The 14,568-nt window shown below is 45.5% G+C and overlaps 1 protein-coding gene across 4 annotated transcripts in view, besides 1 other annotated feature; it reads right to left on the bottom strand.

The window, feature by feature from the left end:
• Nucleotides 1-14,568, bottom strand: part of RREB1 (ras responsive element binding protein 1) — a 144,238-nt gene that overhangs the window by 117,364 nt on the left and 12,306 nt on the right. The gene's annotated exons all lie outside the window — the stretch shown is intronic.
• Nucleotides 9,738-10,256: an enhancer, noted in NCBI's record as "NANOG hESC enhancer chr6:7124594-7125112 (GRCh37/hg19 assembly coordinates)". NCBI's record gives its function as "activates a minimal SCP1, AML or CMV promoter by ChIP-STARR-seq in primed H9 embryonic stem cells {active_cell/tissue: H9 hESC(primed)}" and the evidence as "EXISTENCE:reporter gene assay evidence [ECO:0000049][PMID:30033119]".

Here is a 14,568-nt window from a genome sequence, read left to right as displayed (position 1 = left end):
CCACTAAAATGTCGATAGAGTTTTTCTGTCATTAGAGCTTCTCAACAGAATCTAAAAAAATAATTAAAATCACACTTGGTCTGGAAATTTTTTACATTAAAAGAGTATCTTACATTTAAAAAGATGGGGAATAATTGCTCTAGAATGTCCAAATAACATGACATTGATTAAAGAAAAACATCCAGTAAAAATACAACCACAGATAAAGGACACATCACATCATTCCTAACATTCACAACACAGTGCCCTATGTAAGAGAACAAACACCTTCCTCTCAAGAGAGGCCAACCCTCTAGCGAAAGGACTTTTTGAACTGCTCAATTTGTTTTTCATCAGTAACCCTCACGGGTTTGGGGTAATAAGACAGATCACATGCTATCCAAAAATAAACACACACATTTTGTCAGTTCAGTATTTTTCTCTTTAAAATAAATTTCTGATGAACTACATATTCACAATTTACCATAAAAAGTTTAATACTATGTTGGTTTCATGTAACCTAGAAGATAGGTTCCTTCACTCACACAATGAGTGCCCAGGGAATGCAAAATAATTATAACATTAGCCTATGACCCTGCCCCCCAAAATTATGCCACATCAAAATGTGATTTTCATGTTCAAGAATATTTGAATACACCAAAAAAGACTTGTCATATCATATTAAAATTGTAAAACATATGGTATAAAGACATGTACAAAAATGGGTTTTATTGTCCACAATAAATCCCATTTTTGTAATATGTGTATATATCCATAGAAAACCACCTAAAAGGAAATAGTAAAGTATCAACAATGATTTATCTCTGACTTGTGGGCATAAACAATTTTACTTTCCTTTTTCCTTTTTGCATCATTAGATGTTTTTTCCTTTGGGTTCATTTATAATTCTTCTATTATGGGCATAGGTGCAGTGAAATAATTAAAATTCTGATGAAAAAATAATTTTTAATCCTTAGGACTATTTATAATCTTAATTTAGGATAACTTGTTTTTTCTTCATATTCCTTCTTATTATGTACAATGAATAAGAACATTCATTCATTCATTCATTTACTTATTTAGAGATGGAGTCTCACAATGTTGCCCAGGCTGATTTCAAACTCCCAGGTTCAAGCGATCCTCCTGCCTCAGCCTCCCAAGTGGCTGGGACTTCCCGGGTGTGCCATGGTGCCTGGCTAAGAACATTTTATGATGGGTAAAAAACAATGTTTAAACAGTCCTGATTTTGATGTATTGGCTCTTGGTGGATTATTGATACAATCTGCTACTAACATCATAGTAGGAATAATTGTGGCTCCACCACAAAAGTTCATACAAGCCCGTCCAGGCACCTGGATTTGGCAGGGTGAGCTGATGTCTAAGAGAATGTGACATGCAAGTCCAGAGTTCCACATCAAGCCTGCCCCCTGCATCTCTCCAGGCCTCACTTTCCTCACCTGTAAGCTAAGGAGGTATAAGGAAAAGAAACGAACCATGCTTCCCTGAGGCCCCTTCCAGTGCAATGCTCTACGATTGTAAACAGGGAAAATGCAAATATCATTTAATCAAATCTTGCCAGTCATAACCCACTTGTCGACTTGCTCAGGATAGATGTGAACTCCTATCACCAATTTGACTACTTGTATTGCTTGATGGATAGTATAGCAAAGATAGAAACACTGCATTAATTAAACATGTTTTTAAAAGGTTTCCATGGCTCACAAATTTTCAAGTTTCCTTATCTGTGTGGCAACCCTACCCAAAATGAGGGCACATGCAGAAAAGAAGCTCCAACCACAACAAACACAGTCACTTACTGAATGTTGACATTGTATACCAGACACGGGGTATTTATAGTGTGTTATATTACACTCTACAATCCCATCACTTAGGTCTAATGACTTCCATTTTATACCTGTAAAAAAAAAATCTGTTAAAAGAAAAAAAAGATCTGTGTGTGAAGAGCAAAAGCTGTTTTCAACAATGGTGCATGCCTATGGGCAAGACACCCAACTGCTCTGTGTCAATATCGCCACCTGTGAAACAGGTCAAATAACCCCTACCGCATTCATTCCTTCAACAAATACTGACTGAGCACCTAGTATGTGCCAGGCACTATGGCAAGCGCTTGGGAGGCATCAGTGAATAAAATGCTTAAAAAGAACAAAAAGTGGCTGGGCGTGGTGGCTCACGTCTCTAATCCCACCACTTTAGAAGGCCAACGTAGATGGATCGCTTGAGGCCCAGGAGACCAGACTGGGCAACACAGTAAAACCCAATCTCGGCTGGGCACGGTGGCTCACATCTGCAATCCCAGCACTTTGGAAGGCCGAGGCAGGTAGATCACCTGAGGTCAGGAGTTCGAGTCCAGCCTGACCAACATGATGAAACCCTGTCTCTACTAAAAATACAAAAATTGGCCAGGCATGGTGGCGCATGCCTGTAATCCCAGCTACTTCGGAGGCTAAGGCAGGAGAATCGCTTGAACCCGGGAGGCAGAGGCTGCAGTGAGCCGAGATTGCACCATTGTACTCCAGCCTGGGCAACAAGAGCAAAACTCTGTCTCAAACAAACAAACCAAAAAAACCCGATCTTTACTAAAAATACAAAAACTAGCTGGGAGTAGTGGCATGTGCCTGTAGTCCCAGCTACTTGGGAGGCTGAGGCACGACAATCACAGGAACCCAGGAGGTGAAGGTCGCAGTGAGCCAAGATCACACCACTGCACTCCAGCCTGGATGACAGAGGAGACTCTGTCTCCAAAAAAAAAAAAAGTCCTCAAGGAGCTTAACCTATAGTACATTATCTCCCTTTCTTCCCCCATTTAAAAATGGACAAAGCATTAGAAAACAAATCCAATAGAAGCCATCAGCTTTGGCCGGGCGTGTGGCTTACACTTGTAATCCTACCACTTTGGGAGGCAGAGATGGGAGGATCCCTTGAGGCCAGGAGTTCGAGAAGCTATCAGCTTTGTCAGCCCAAAAGTGGATATTTTTACTTAAAAAACAAATGCAGAAGTGAAAAGATGAAGAGCACTTGTATTGGAGTACACTGGCCTGGGTTTGAATTCAGACTCCCTCACTAACTAGCTAGAGTAACCTTGGGCAAGTTATTTAAACTAAGCCCCAGCTTCCTCATCTGTAAACAGAAATAACAGTGAACTTTTAAGTTGATGCAAAGATTAAATCAGATGAAATACAGACTGCAAGAGGTATAATGCCTCCTGTACATTAAGTTAGGTAACTGAAAAGATTAGGGTAACCTCCCCAAATGCCACCTTCCAAATCTGCAAAATGAGGATAATTATACCAATTTAATAGGACTGTTGTGAGGACTATGAAGATAATGCACAGAAAGCATTTACCATGACTGGCATACGATGGTACATATTTGCTTCTTAGAAATGAGTATTGGCCGGGCGCGGTGGCTCACGCCTGTAATCCCAGCACTTTGGGAGGCCGACGTGGATGGATCGCAAGGTCAGGAGATCGAGACCACAGTGAAACCCCGTCTCTACTAAAAATACAAAAAATTAGCCGGGCGCAGTGGCGGGCGCCTGTAGTCCCACCTACTCCGGAGGCTGAGGCAGGAGAATGGTGTGAACCCGAGAGGCGGAGCTTGCAGTGAGCCGAGATCGCGCCACTGACCTCCAGCCTGGGCGACAGAGCAAGACTCCGTCTCAAAAAAAAAAAAAAAAAAAAAAAAAAAGACATGACTATTAACAGTCAGGAGCAGTGGCTCACGCCTGTAATCCCAACACTTTGGGAGGCCAAGGTGGATGGATCATGAGGTCAGAAGTTTGAGACCAGCCTGGCCGACATGGTAAAACCCCATCTCTACTAAACATACAAAAGTTAGCTGGGTGTGGTGGCAGGTGCTTATAAGCCCAGCTACTCGGGAGACTAAGGCAGAAGAATTGCTTGAACCCAGGAGGCAGAGGTTGCAGTGAGCCAAGATCACGCCATGGCACTCCAGCCTGGGTGACAGAGCAAGACTCCATCTCGAAAAAAAAAAAAAGAAATGACTACTAACAAAAGTAAATGGGGAGGGTAGGCATGGCAGCTTTCACTAGTGAACCCCATGACTAAAGCTATAGAGAAACAGCTGGGAAAAGCAATTCTGGGGAAGAACACTATGCCCCCAAGACCAGGCACCAGGCAGAGACTCCCAGCAGACAGTTTGCCCACACAGTGGGATCAGATGCAGGTGGTTGTGAAATGACAAATGCAACCAAATCTGAGTCACCCAGGGTGACGTCCAGAGCGCGTGGATTATGGCAGCCTTGGCTTCGGTTGCCTCTCTTTCAGGCGCTTCCAGCTTTACCAGAGGCCTGAAAGAGCAAAGGAGAGGAATGGAAAGGGATTTACTACTACTACTTTGCAGGTTTTTAGAGGAAGGAGTGTTGGCTATGGAGGATAAAAATGATTTGGAGGAATTATCAGTAAAAGTCATTTATCCAGACTTGCTCTTGCCCCCAGTGAGGGCAGGTGAAGGCACTCCTTGTCTCCTTTTGGGCTGAGGCAGAGAACAGCAACAGGCAAAGACAGCAAGACTCCAAAATTGAGTGAGGGAGGGGAGAGTCAGTAGAGTGGGCTCAAGTGCCACACTACAACACCTGGGACAAGTAGGTTCACCAGCTCACGGTGCTCTGGGCCAGGTGTGCTGACTGACCCGTAGCTCCACTCAACAGACTGCTGGAAAGCTCTTGGCCCTACCTTCAGTAAACCAGAGGTCTTGGTATATACACCCGTCTACCAACATTATAAACAAGATAAATCAGTTCCGTAAACAAGCACCAAAAAGGGGCCTACCAGACCAAAGGGACATGAACCAAAACCTTCTATGTCAGGGCTAAAGTGGAACCCAGGTTCCCTGCTGCCCGGCTGCACCTTTCCGACAACAGGATGTTACCCCTCTCGAAGGTGGCTCACCTGGAATTGGTAACCACAAAGTCAAATATCAAGCAAAGTATGTGATTCAGCTTTTCAACAAGTCTATGGCTGTAAAGAAATAAAGCTTCGCTATGTGTGTACATCACTGCAGTGGCTTTAGGCAATTCAGATATCCTGGGTGCTGCCTCTTGGTTCATCCTGTACGAGCTGCCATGGGAGGCACTCTCTGCCTCAGGCCAAAAAGCAAACAGTGAAGTGAGCCACGGCAGTCACCCAAAGCACAGACACACAAACCACATGCCCACTGTTGAGGGTGTCTCCAAGGCCTAAGCAGGCCAACTGTGACTTCTCTACTCAAAAACTTTGGACTCCCTACCACTTAAATTAAGAAGAAAAGGTCAAATCCTGCCCCACCTTCCACCTTGCCCCACTATCCCTCCAACCCATCTTCTCAGACACCTTCCTCAACACCAAATTACACTGTAAACTCAAAACCAACCTGCTTTCCTGCTGGGCTCTCAGCCCCTACTTGTGCTTTTCCTAGAAGTGCAGACCCACTCCTGCGAGCTTCTGTGAGCCTTGGCCTTCCCATGGGAACTTGGCTCAGGGTCCACATGGCATAAGAATTCCTTTCATAATGTCAACTCCCCAAAGGCAAGAAACACCAAACTCCACCATGCCTAAACCTAGCATAGCAATTGCTCAATTAAGGATATTTCAGATGAAGCTGGAGGTATTCAAATAATGTGTTAAGCTCAAAAGCATAACTTTTTTTTTGAGACGGAGTCTCACTCTGTTGCCCAAGCTGGAGTGCAGTGGCCCAATCTCAGCTTAGTGCAACCTCCGCCTCCCGGATTCACGCAATTCTCCTGTCTCAGCTTCCCGAGTTGCTGGAATTACAGGTGCCCACCACCACACCTGGCTAATTTTTCTATTTTTAATAGAGATGGGGTTTCACCATATTGGCCAGGCTGGTCTCGAACTCCTGAACTCAGGTGATCTGCCCGCCTTGGCCTCCTAAAGTGCTGGGATTACAGGTGTGAGCCACCACGCCCGGCCCCAAGACAAACAAATTGAGTCAAGTGGTAGAAACTCTCCAGGTATCACCGTATATTGAGATTATCTAAAAGAACAACTCTTAAAGCCTGCCATAAAGCTTCCTGGTCATGTGTCACTGGCTGCATGATCTCAGAAACAGGAGCATCTCTAAGCCTCAGTTTCCTGTCTTTAAAAAGGAGAAAATAACAGCTACACCTCATGAAGTTGTTGAGATGATTACACACAGAGACATACATGGTGCTCTGCTTCCCCTAAGTAGTGTGCCCTGGTCGAACCCACTAAAAGCAGCACTTTCAGACACTGCCTCCAACCCAGCTCCCCTCCAGGTCCCCCAAAAGCTCCACTTCAGCTTACCAGAATCCTACTTCCTCCTGCACAATCTCAAATGCGAGAACACATGAAAAAACAAAACTAAACAAAAAATGTTCGCCAACAATTCGGAAAATCATAAAATGAAACAATCTGTTTTCAGTGATGGAAATGATTGAGGTATGTGTTCTGTCCAACCCACCAAGTTTACAGGAGGCCTACCCCCATTTTGCACAACCCTCCCATCCAAGTCCCTTAGTCCATGAGTACAAGCTTTGAAATGTATAAAGTCAGGCTATAAAAAATTCGTATTTCTTCCCCAGAGGACTCTGAAAACCTGAGAGTACAAGGCAATGTTGTGCCTCTACAATAATTACTACACCATTAATTGTCTTTGGGGCCTGCAGTCTGACTTCCTTCACATCCACTCTAACTTTTCAGGCCTCGGGCACATGATGCTCCTTTGTTGGCTGTTTCAGCTGCAGTGAAGGGGGTGGATCCAAGCAGAGGACCAGGAACATCTGAGGGGCAGAGTCGTGACCCAGATGAGGGCACATGCTCTGCAGGTGAGCAGCGAGCTGGCAATTGCTGTAAGGCAGCTCCACCTTTTGAACAGATTCTATTTCCACCAGACGCTGCCAGCCCCTAAAGCCATCACCCACAGAGTCATCAAGACAGCAAATTAGCTGGCCCTCTGCTCACACCTATCCCACCCTGCAGTCACTCCCAACTGACACACCAAACTCGTGGTTACGAGGAATACATTGTCCCAGTTCAGCTCCCAGTGTCCATCCTCAATATTTTTGAGAAATGAGTCCCTCTCCTCTAAAGAATTCCAATCTCTAATGACCTTAAGTAAGTACCAACTAGTACAACACAATTAGGGAAGTCTAAACATTGTTGAATTATATTTGCTGAAAATAAATGTTCCCACCTTTCCCCTATCATTTAACAAGGCTTCAGAAGGCAGCCCACATATCCTGGGTTGAAAAATCTCTTGTAAAAAAAAAGGGAAGAAGTTATTCTGTTAAAGAGAATACCAAATTCCAAGTTCACACTGCAGTTTGCTAAACACCTTGTCTTCTCTCCGACTTAAATTTTCTAAAGGGTTAGCAGTTCTCTGAACCACAGAGCTGCTCACATCACAGTCCTGCTCCAAAGCATTTGATGGCTCACAACAGACTCCACCACCGAGCCCCCGTCCATTTTTCCAGGGCCAACACTTCTCATCATTCCAACTCAATACAACACGCCTAAGCCCTATCCTCTAGTCACATTCCACTTTTTGCCCTACCCTGTCCTCAACTAAGCCTCATATTTTCATACTCCAGGGCCTGTACTTAAACTGCTTTTTGCCTAGAAGGACGTTTTCCTTCCCCACATCATCCTCCTCCACATGACAAGCCCTGCACATTTGAGAGCATCACTTCCTCTTCTTTTCCCAACCACTTCCCACTTGCAGGCCCCTCCACTTGTCCTTGCTGGTTATGAGGCACTGACGAGTTTTAGGGCAGGGACCATGTTTTACCCATCCTTGCATTTCCAGAGGCTGGTACCCAGGGCAAGTGTCAAGAAACGGTTCTTGATGCAGGCTTGCTGATGGTGGTATTCCACAGATGGGAAAAAAGGAGCCCAGAATGCTGGCCTCCTAATCCAGATTGCTTCTCAGTATTATTTTGCTGAAACTACCCAGCTGCTGTGAGCAAAATAACAATGATAATAACAGTAGCAAATAGAGAAGATAGGTCAGTTATAACTGAGCTGGTAGCACACAAGACGTAATTCTCTGTTACTAGTTTCAAAACAGTCCTGCCAGCACAGTGGCTCATGCCTGTAATCCCAGCACTTTGGGAGGCGGAGGCAGGCAGATCACCCGAGGTCAGGAGTTTAAGACCAGCCTGACCAATACGATGAAACCCCATCTCTACTAAAAATAAAAAAATCAGCTAGATGTGGTGGCGTGTGCCTGTAATCACAGCTACTAGGGAGGCTAAGACAGGAGAATCGCTTGAACCTGGGAGGCGGAGGTTGTAGTGCACTCCAGCCTGGGCAACAAGAATGGGTCGGGGGGGAATCGAGGCCGGGCGCAGTGGCTCACGCCTGTAATCCCAGCACTTTGGGAGGCCAAGGCGGGCGGATCACGAGGTCAGCAGTTCAAGGCCAGCCTGACCAACATAGTGAAACCCAGCCTCTACTAAAAATACAAAAATTAGCTGGGTGTGGTGGTGCGCACCTGTAATCCCAGCTACTCAGGAGGCTGAGGCAGGAGAATCACTTGAACCCGGGAGGCGGAGGTTGCAGTGAGCCGAGATCGTGCCACTGCACTCCAGCTTGGGCGACAGAGCAAGACTCCGTCTCAAAACAAACAAACAAACAAACAAACAAACAAAAAACAGTCCTTCTCCGCAGACAGGAAGAAGCAGGAAACAGACCTTGAAGTACTTACCGTAATTCAGTATCTGCCAGTTCCATAACTTGCTCCGATGCCCTCACAAAGGAGCAAGGCACACTGGGAACCCCCATCCCAAACACACTCTAAGAGACAGGACAGCCTCCTCTCATTGCCCTCCAGTCCACACGGCTCTTCCTGCTTGAAAAGTAAAACAACAAAGAAACAACACCTCCCAGAGGCTATCACACTTGAGCACTGCCACATGTCACTGGGCCTCTTACAATCACCCCAATACCAGTTCTGAGGCAAAACCTTGAGTTTCCATATTATGTAAAATAATAAACTATTATAAAACAACAATGGACCTGTTCTCAAGGCACTGGCCCTACCCAATGCAAAACTAAATTCCCAAATGCTTATAGAGCTTAGAGTCTCTTCAAAAGTAGGCAACCTGTGAGTCTGAAACAGGGCTGAGTACTTTCAGGGAGGTTAAAAGTGGTGCCCACATGAAAGGTTTCAAGAGACAGGAGAGGCCCCCCCATTAACCACATGGAGGACTAGCAGAAGCCTGGAGTCCAAGGCCCCACTCTTCCACTTCTGGGACATTTCCCACCACGCAAAAGATCATCTCTGTTCTACACTCTAACCTTTCCAAGGGGAACAGGGTGACAATTCCATACTTGGCAGAATTTGTCCAGTGTTTCACCCTACCTCTCCACCAGGTCTTTCCCTGACAGTCTTATGCTTTAGTGTCTTGTTGACCTCCCTTCTATAAGGGCTCCCAAATTCCAGTCACCTGGTTTGTGTACTAACACCACTTTTGCAAACCCCTCACTTCCACAAAACACTGAATCTCCCTTCTGACCATCACAGAAGTGAAGATCTAGCTTATGTTGTCAAATACCAGCTAGAATAAGCTGTTCCACTGGTAAGCTGTAATCTGCTGTTTCCACAAGCCAGAACAGTTTTCCCCTCGATGTGCCTCACAAGGAAGGATCTGCACACAGCAGGTTTTCAGTGAGTTCTTGTTTGGTGAATGGATCATGTCTCTATGACAGGTAGTCTGCCAGAGGTCAGAAGCACAGCTCAGAGTCACACTTCACAGTTTGAGCCCTACTAGCTAGCTGCTTCTCTGGGTCTCAATTTCCTCATCTGAATCATGGGGATAACAACTGCATCTACATCATGGGGTCAGAGAATTGTTGTGATGAATGAATGAGATGATGCATGAAAGGAATTTAGGCGGCTGGTAACTAGTACAGGCTCAATAAATGTTAGATCTTATGACTGCTGCTTCTACTGCCACCATGCTGGGAGTATTTCTACATGAAAAGCCTAACAACCAACAAAGGGTGAAAACTAAATTATAACAATGGAGTCCCATGGAGTTACTTGAATGCTGGGAGTTGAACTTATTTAAAAGTACTCTAGACAGATTAATTTGTAATATAACCACTTGCAGTTTCTGGTGTTTAGGACTGGATTTCTGTGTACTCAGTTTCCTGAAGAGACACAAGAGGCAATGCTAGCTACCATGAGACTTCTGGTAGCTACCATGAGACAAGCTGGCCAAATGAGCCCTTCCAAAATTCCACTTCCTGCAAAGATAACAATGACATAAATCATGATCTCTAAATATAATAATTTGGCCAATGCTAACCACACCGCCTCCCCAATACACATATACTCCCCCCCTTTTCTTGAGCACACCACAAAAGGAACACATGACCACACAGCATCTACTCTCCAGGGCAGAATGGAAGGACAAAGGCACAAAGCAAGCCTCAGAACACACAGGCCACCGTGTTTGCCACATCTATATCAAGAACTGCTTAAACAAAAAATAAAATCAACGACAAAACTCTCAGACGGGTGACCACCCCGGTCCCAGAGCTTACTACCGCAACAGGACCAAACATGCATACACTCTCTTTCTAAAGCAGAGTGTCCACTTTCCTAAGGAAAAAGTAATTTTTATACCATGTATCCCAATGCCGCATTCTTAGCAAGATGACAGGCCTTTGGGTACACGAAGAAGGGACATATCACAGATACCCTTAAGACACATCACATGAGGCCGGGCGCGGTGGCTCACACCTGTAATCCCAGTACTTTGGGAGGCCGAGGCAGGTGGATCACGAGGTCAGGAGATTGAGACCATCCTGGCTAACACAGTGAAACCCCATCGCTATTAAAAATACAAAAAAATTAGCCAGGCGTGGTGGCGGGCGCCTGTAGTCCCAGCTACTCGGGAGGCTGAGGCAGGAGAATGGTGTGAACCCAGGAGGCGGAGCTTGCAGTGAGCTGAGGTCACGCCACTGCACCCCAGCCTGGGCGACAGAGCAAGACTCCATCTCAAAAAAAAAAAAAAAAAAGACACATCACATGGCCTGGCCTAACTGATGCCACTCTGAACTTCTCTGAGAAAACCTCACTAAAATTCCAAAACATGTATTTATTTATTAACTTATTCAGTAATCTCCTCAGGTCCTCAGGAGCTTTATGTAAAATACGTTCAACTTTCGGCCAGGCGTGGTGGCTCACGCCTGTAATCCTAGCACTTCGGGAGGCTGAGACGGGCGGACTGCCTGAACTCAGGAGTTCGAGACCAGCCTGGGCAACACAGTGAAACCCTGTCTCCATTAAAATACAAAAAATTAGCTGGGCGTGGCGGCACGCGCCTGTACAGAGTCCCAGCTCCTCAGGAGGCTGAGACAGGAGAATCGCTTGAACCCGGGAGGTGGAAGTTGCAGTGAGACGAGATTGCACCATTGTACTCCAGCCTGGGCAACAGAGTGAGACTCTGTCTCCAAAAAAAAAAAACACATTCAACTTCATTCACAGATGATGCATCAGATGGTCTAACATATCCAGAAAACAGCCGTATGTAAGACATGCCAATACCCCACAGCCTAGAGAAACCAACAAACCAGGGACCCGAGGGGCAACACCACGGTGAGGCAAAAACACAAATGTTTAAGGTAAAACACATTACCCAACAGAGAGTATGTGTGGTCACCACTATCCAGCACTCTTCAAAATAAGTAGCTGTGGATGGGTTATCCAAAAGTGAGCTGATACATGCTTGTCAGCAGAAACTGGTTTCTAAATGTATTATCACCCCCAATTTTGGATATTCATGACAAGGCAATTATCTAGCATGCTGTATTTATAACACACTTCTCATTTGACCTCTAAATCTACACATCTGCTTAGGTCACACTGAAGTGAAAGACTCCAAGTTGTTTGTAGAGTACTTTAAAATTTAAATTTTCAAAAATACGCTTAAGTCCAGTTTTCAAAGATTTCTTCCCAGCCATCTCTTCACCAAGCTATTCCAATCAGAAAAAGTGAGGAGTAGAAGGTCTTTGTTGAGTTTTGTTCCCATCTATTCAATTCATCTGGCCAAATACAGGGCTGGGCCAGGCGCGGTGGCTCATGCCTGTAATCCCAGCACTTTGGGAGGCCAAAGCAGGAGGATCACTTGAATCCAAGAGTTCAAGACCAGCCTGGGCAACATAGTAAAACCCCACCTCTACAAAAATTTTAAAAATTAGCCAGGCATGGCGGTGCCCGCCTGTAGTCCCAGCTACTCAGGAGGCTGAGGTAGGAAGATCACTGGAACCTGGGAGGTCGAGACTGCAGTGAGCCGTGATCACAACACTGGACTCCAGTATGGGTGACACAACAAAACTCCATCCCTTAAAAAAGAAAAAAGAAAAAAAATGAGAGAGAGATGGAAATTCACGTTCTCCTCAGTATACTACCTGGGGCCCAAAGGAATGTTCAGGTTATATCCATCAGGGTTGATACCTTATAAAAGAGAAGCTTCTTTGGAGCATGCTCACCTGAGGTTTTGATGAGTTATTCGGATGATATTAGAGAAAAGCATTATCCAAAATGGGAGCCCAATAAGACTTTCATGTGAGACCATCTTAAAGGCTGGTGACCCAACTCACACAGAAGGGGATGGGCCATGCATCCAAGTGAGGCATGCACCTTCCCTCGGGAAGCAGAAATCCTAAGTAGGTGACAACCACTTGCTGAGTGGCCGGAGCACACCCTGATGGAAGTCTCAGGGTCAGATTGCACCCTGCCTCCCTGCATTGCATCAAGCAGGGCAGCACACCTGCACTCCAGCTTCTAGTGTGTACCAACTCAGTGGAAAACACGTCACTGTCGGTTTTGTTCCAAAAAGATTTTGTTTGCCATTAAAAAAAAAAAGTTAATTAACGTAGTAGAAACCAAAGGACTGCCTGGGGGTAGGGAGCAAGTCAGCCATCACCAGAGGTATTTAAATACCAGCTAGACAATCACTCCACGGGGACAGGTTCCACTCCTTGTGAAAGGGGTCAAATAAATCTTCTCCTTTGGCACCCAAAGGAGATCTAGTGGAGGGCCCAACACATTAGATACACAACAAGTGTTGCTGACTGAATGAACTATGTTTTCACACAGATTACAGGTCAAGCAAAATACTAATGTAACTCTAATATATTAAGGGCATCGGGTGACCACTGAGGTACTTTATGTGGTTCCAACTAAGAAATAAGTTGGAAAATCAGGTCATGAAATGAGTTCTGATGCTCCTAAGTAAAAGGTTTGAGCCACTGTGAGAGTCCTAGCTTGGTCCCTACCCAAAGGCTCTTCCCATGAACCCTATGCTCAAGTCAAACAGATAAAGCATCGCTAAAACACACTTCAGTGCTTTTAAGATTTAGGTCTAGGCCAGGTGTGGTAGCTCACACCTGTAATCCCAGCATTTTGGAAGGCCAAAGTGGGTAGATCACTTGAGCCCAGGAGTTTGAGATCAGCCTGGGCAACATAGTAAAATCCCATCTTTACAAAAAAATACAAAAACTGGCCAGGCGCAGTGGCTCACGCCTGTAATCCCAACACTTTGGGAGGCTGAGGTGGGTGGATCACCTGAGGTTGGGACTTCGAGACCAGCCTGGCCAACATGGTGAAACCTCATGTCTATTAAAAATACAAAAATTAGCCAGGCGTAGTGGCAGGCACCTGTAATCCCAGCTACTCGAGAGGCTGAGGCAGGAGGGAGAATCACTTGAACGCAGGAGGCAGAGGCTGCGGTGAGCCAATATCGTGCCACAGCACTCCAGCCTGGGTGACAGAACAAGACTCTGTCTCAAAAAAAAAAAAAAAAAAAAAAAATTAGCCAAGCGTGGTGGCGCACACCTGTAGCCCCAGCTACTCAAGAGGCTGAGGTGGGAGGATCACTTGGGCCCACGAGGTCGAGGCTGCACTCCACCCTGTTGACAGAGCGAGGCCTTGTCTCAAAAAAAAAAAAAATAGGTGTACATCTCATCTAAAAATCATTCAAAAGCTCAGACCATCTACAAGAAATTTTTCCTGTTCCTTTTAGCATCGGGAAATTAAAAAAAGGAAAAAGGAGGATAGAATACGAGGCAGCCATTGGTTTTTTCCCCAATGGTAAGAACATAACGTCTGTTTCTCACTGTTACATAAGTACTGTTCATGCTTCATCCATGCCATGTACTTTTTTTTCTTTTTGAGAAGGGGTCTCACCCTGTTGCTCAGGCTGGAATGCAGTGGCACAATCACAGCTCGCTGCAGCCTCAACCTCCTGGGTTCAAGTGATCCTCCCACCTCAGTCTCCTGAGTATCTGGGACTACAGGTGTGTACCACCATGCCCGGCTAAGGTTTGTATTTTTTTGTAGATACAGGGTTTTTTACCTTGTTGTCCAGGCCAGTCTCAAACTCCCGACCTCAAGGGATCTGCACGGCTCGGCCTCCCAAACTGCTGGGATGAGAGGCATGAGCCACCACGCCCGGCCTAGGTACATAATTTTTAATCAACTAAAACACAGTGCAAGTAAAGAAATAGCTAAAAAAGGCGGGCGGGGGGTGGGGGTGGGGACATAAATATAGCTCTTTAAAAGGTAGAGAACACACCT

Source organism: Homo sapiens, chromosome 6 (assembly GCF_000001405.40).
Source record: "Homo sapiens chromosome 6, GRCh38.p14 Primary Assembly".
Classification (NCBI taxonomy): Eukaryota; Metazoa; Chordata; class Mammalia; order Primates; family Hominidae; genus Homo; species Homo sapiens.
This window is presented reverse-complemented; position numbering and strand designations above follow the sequence as displayed.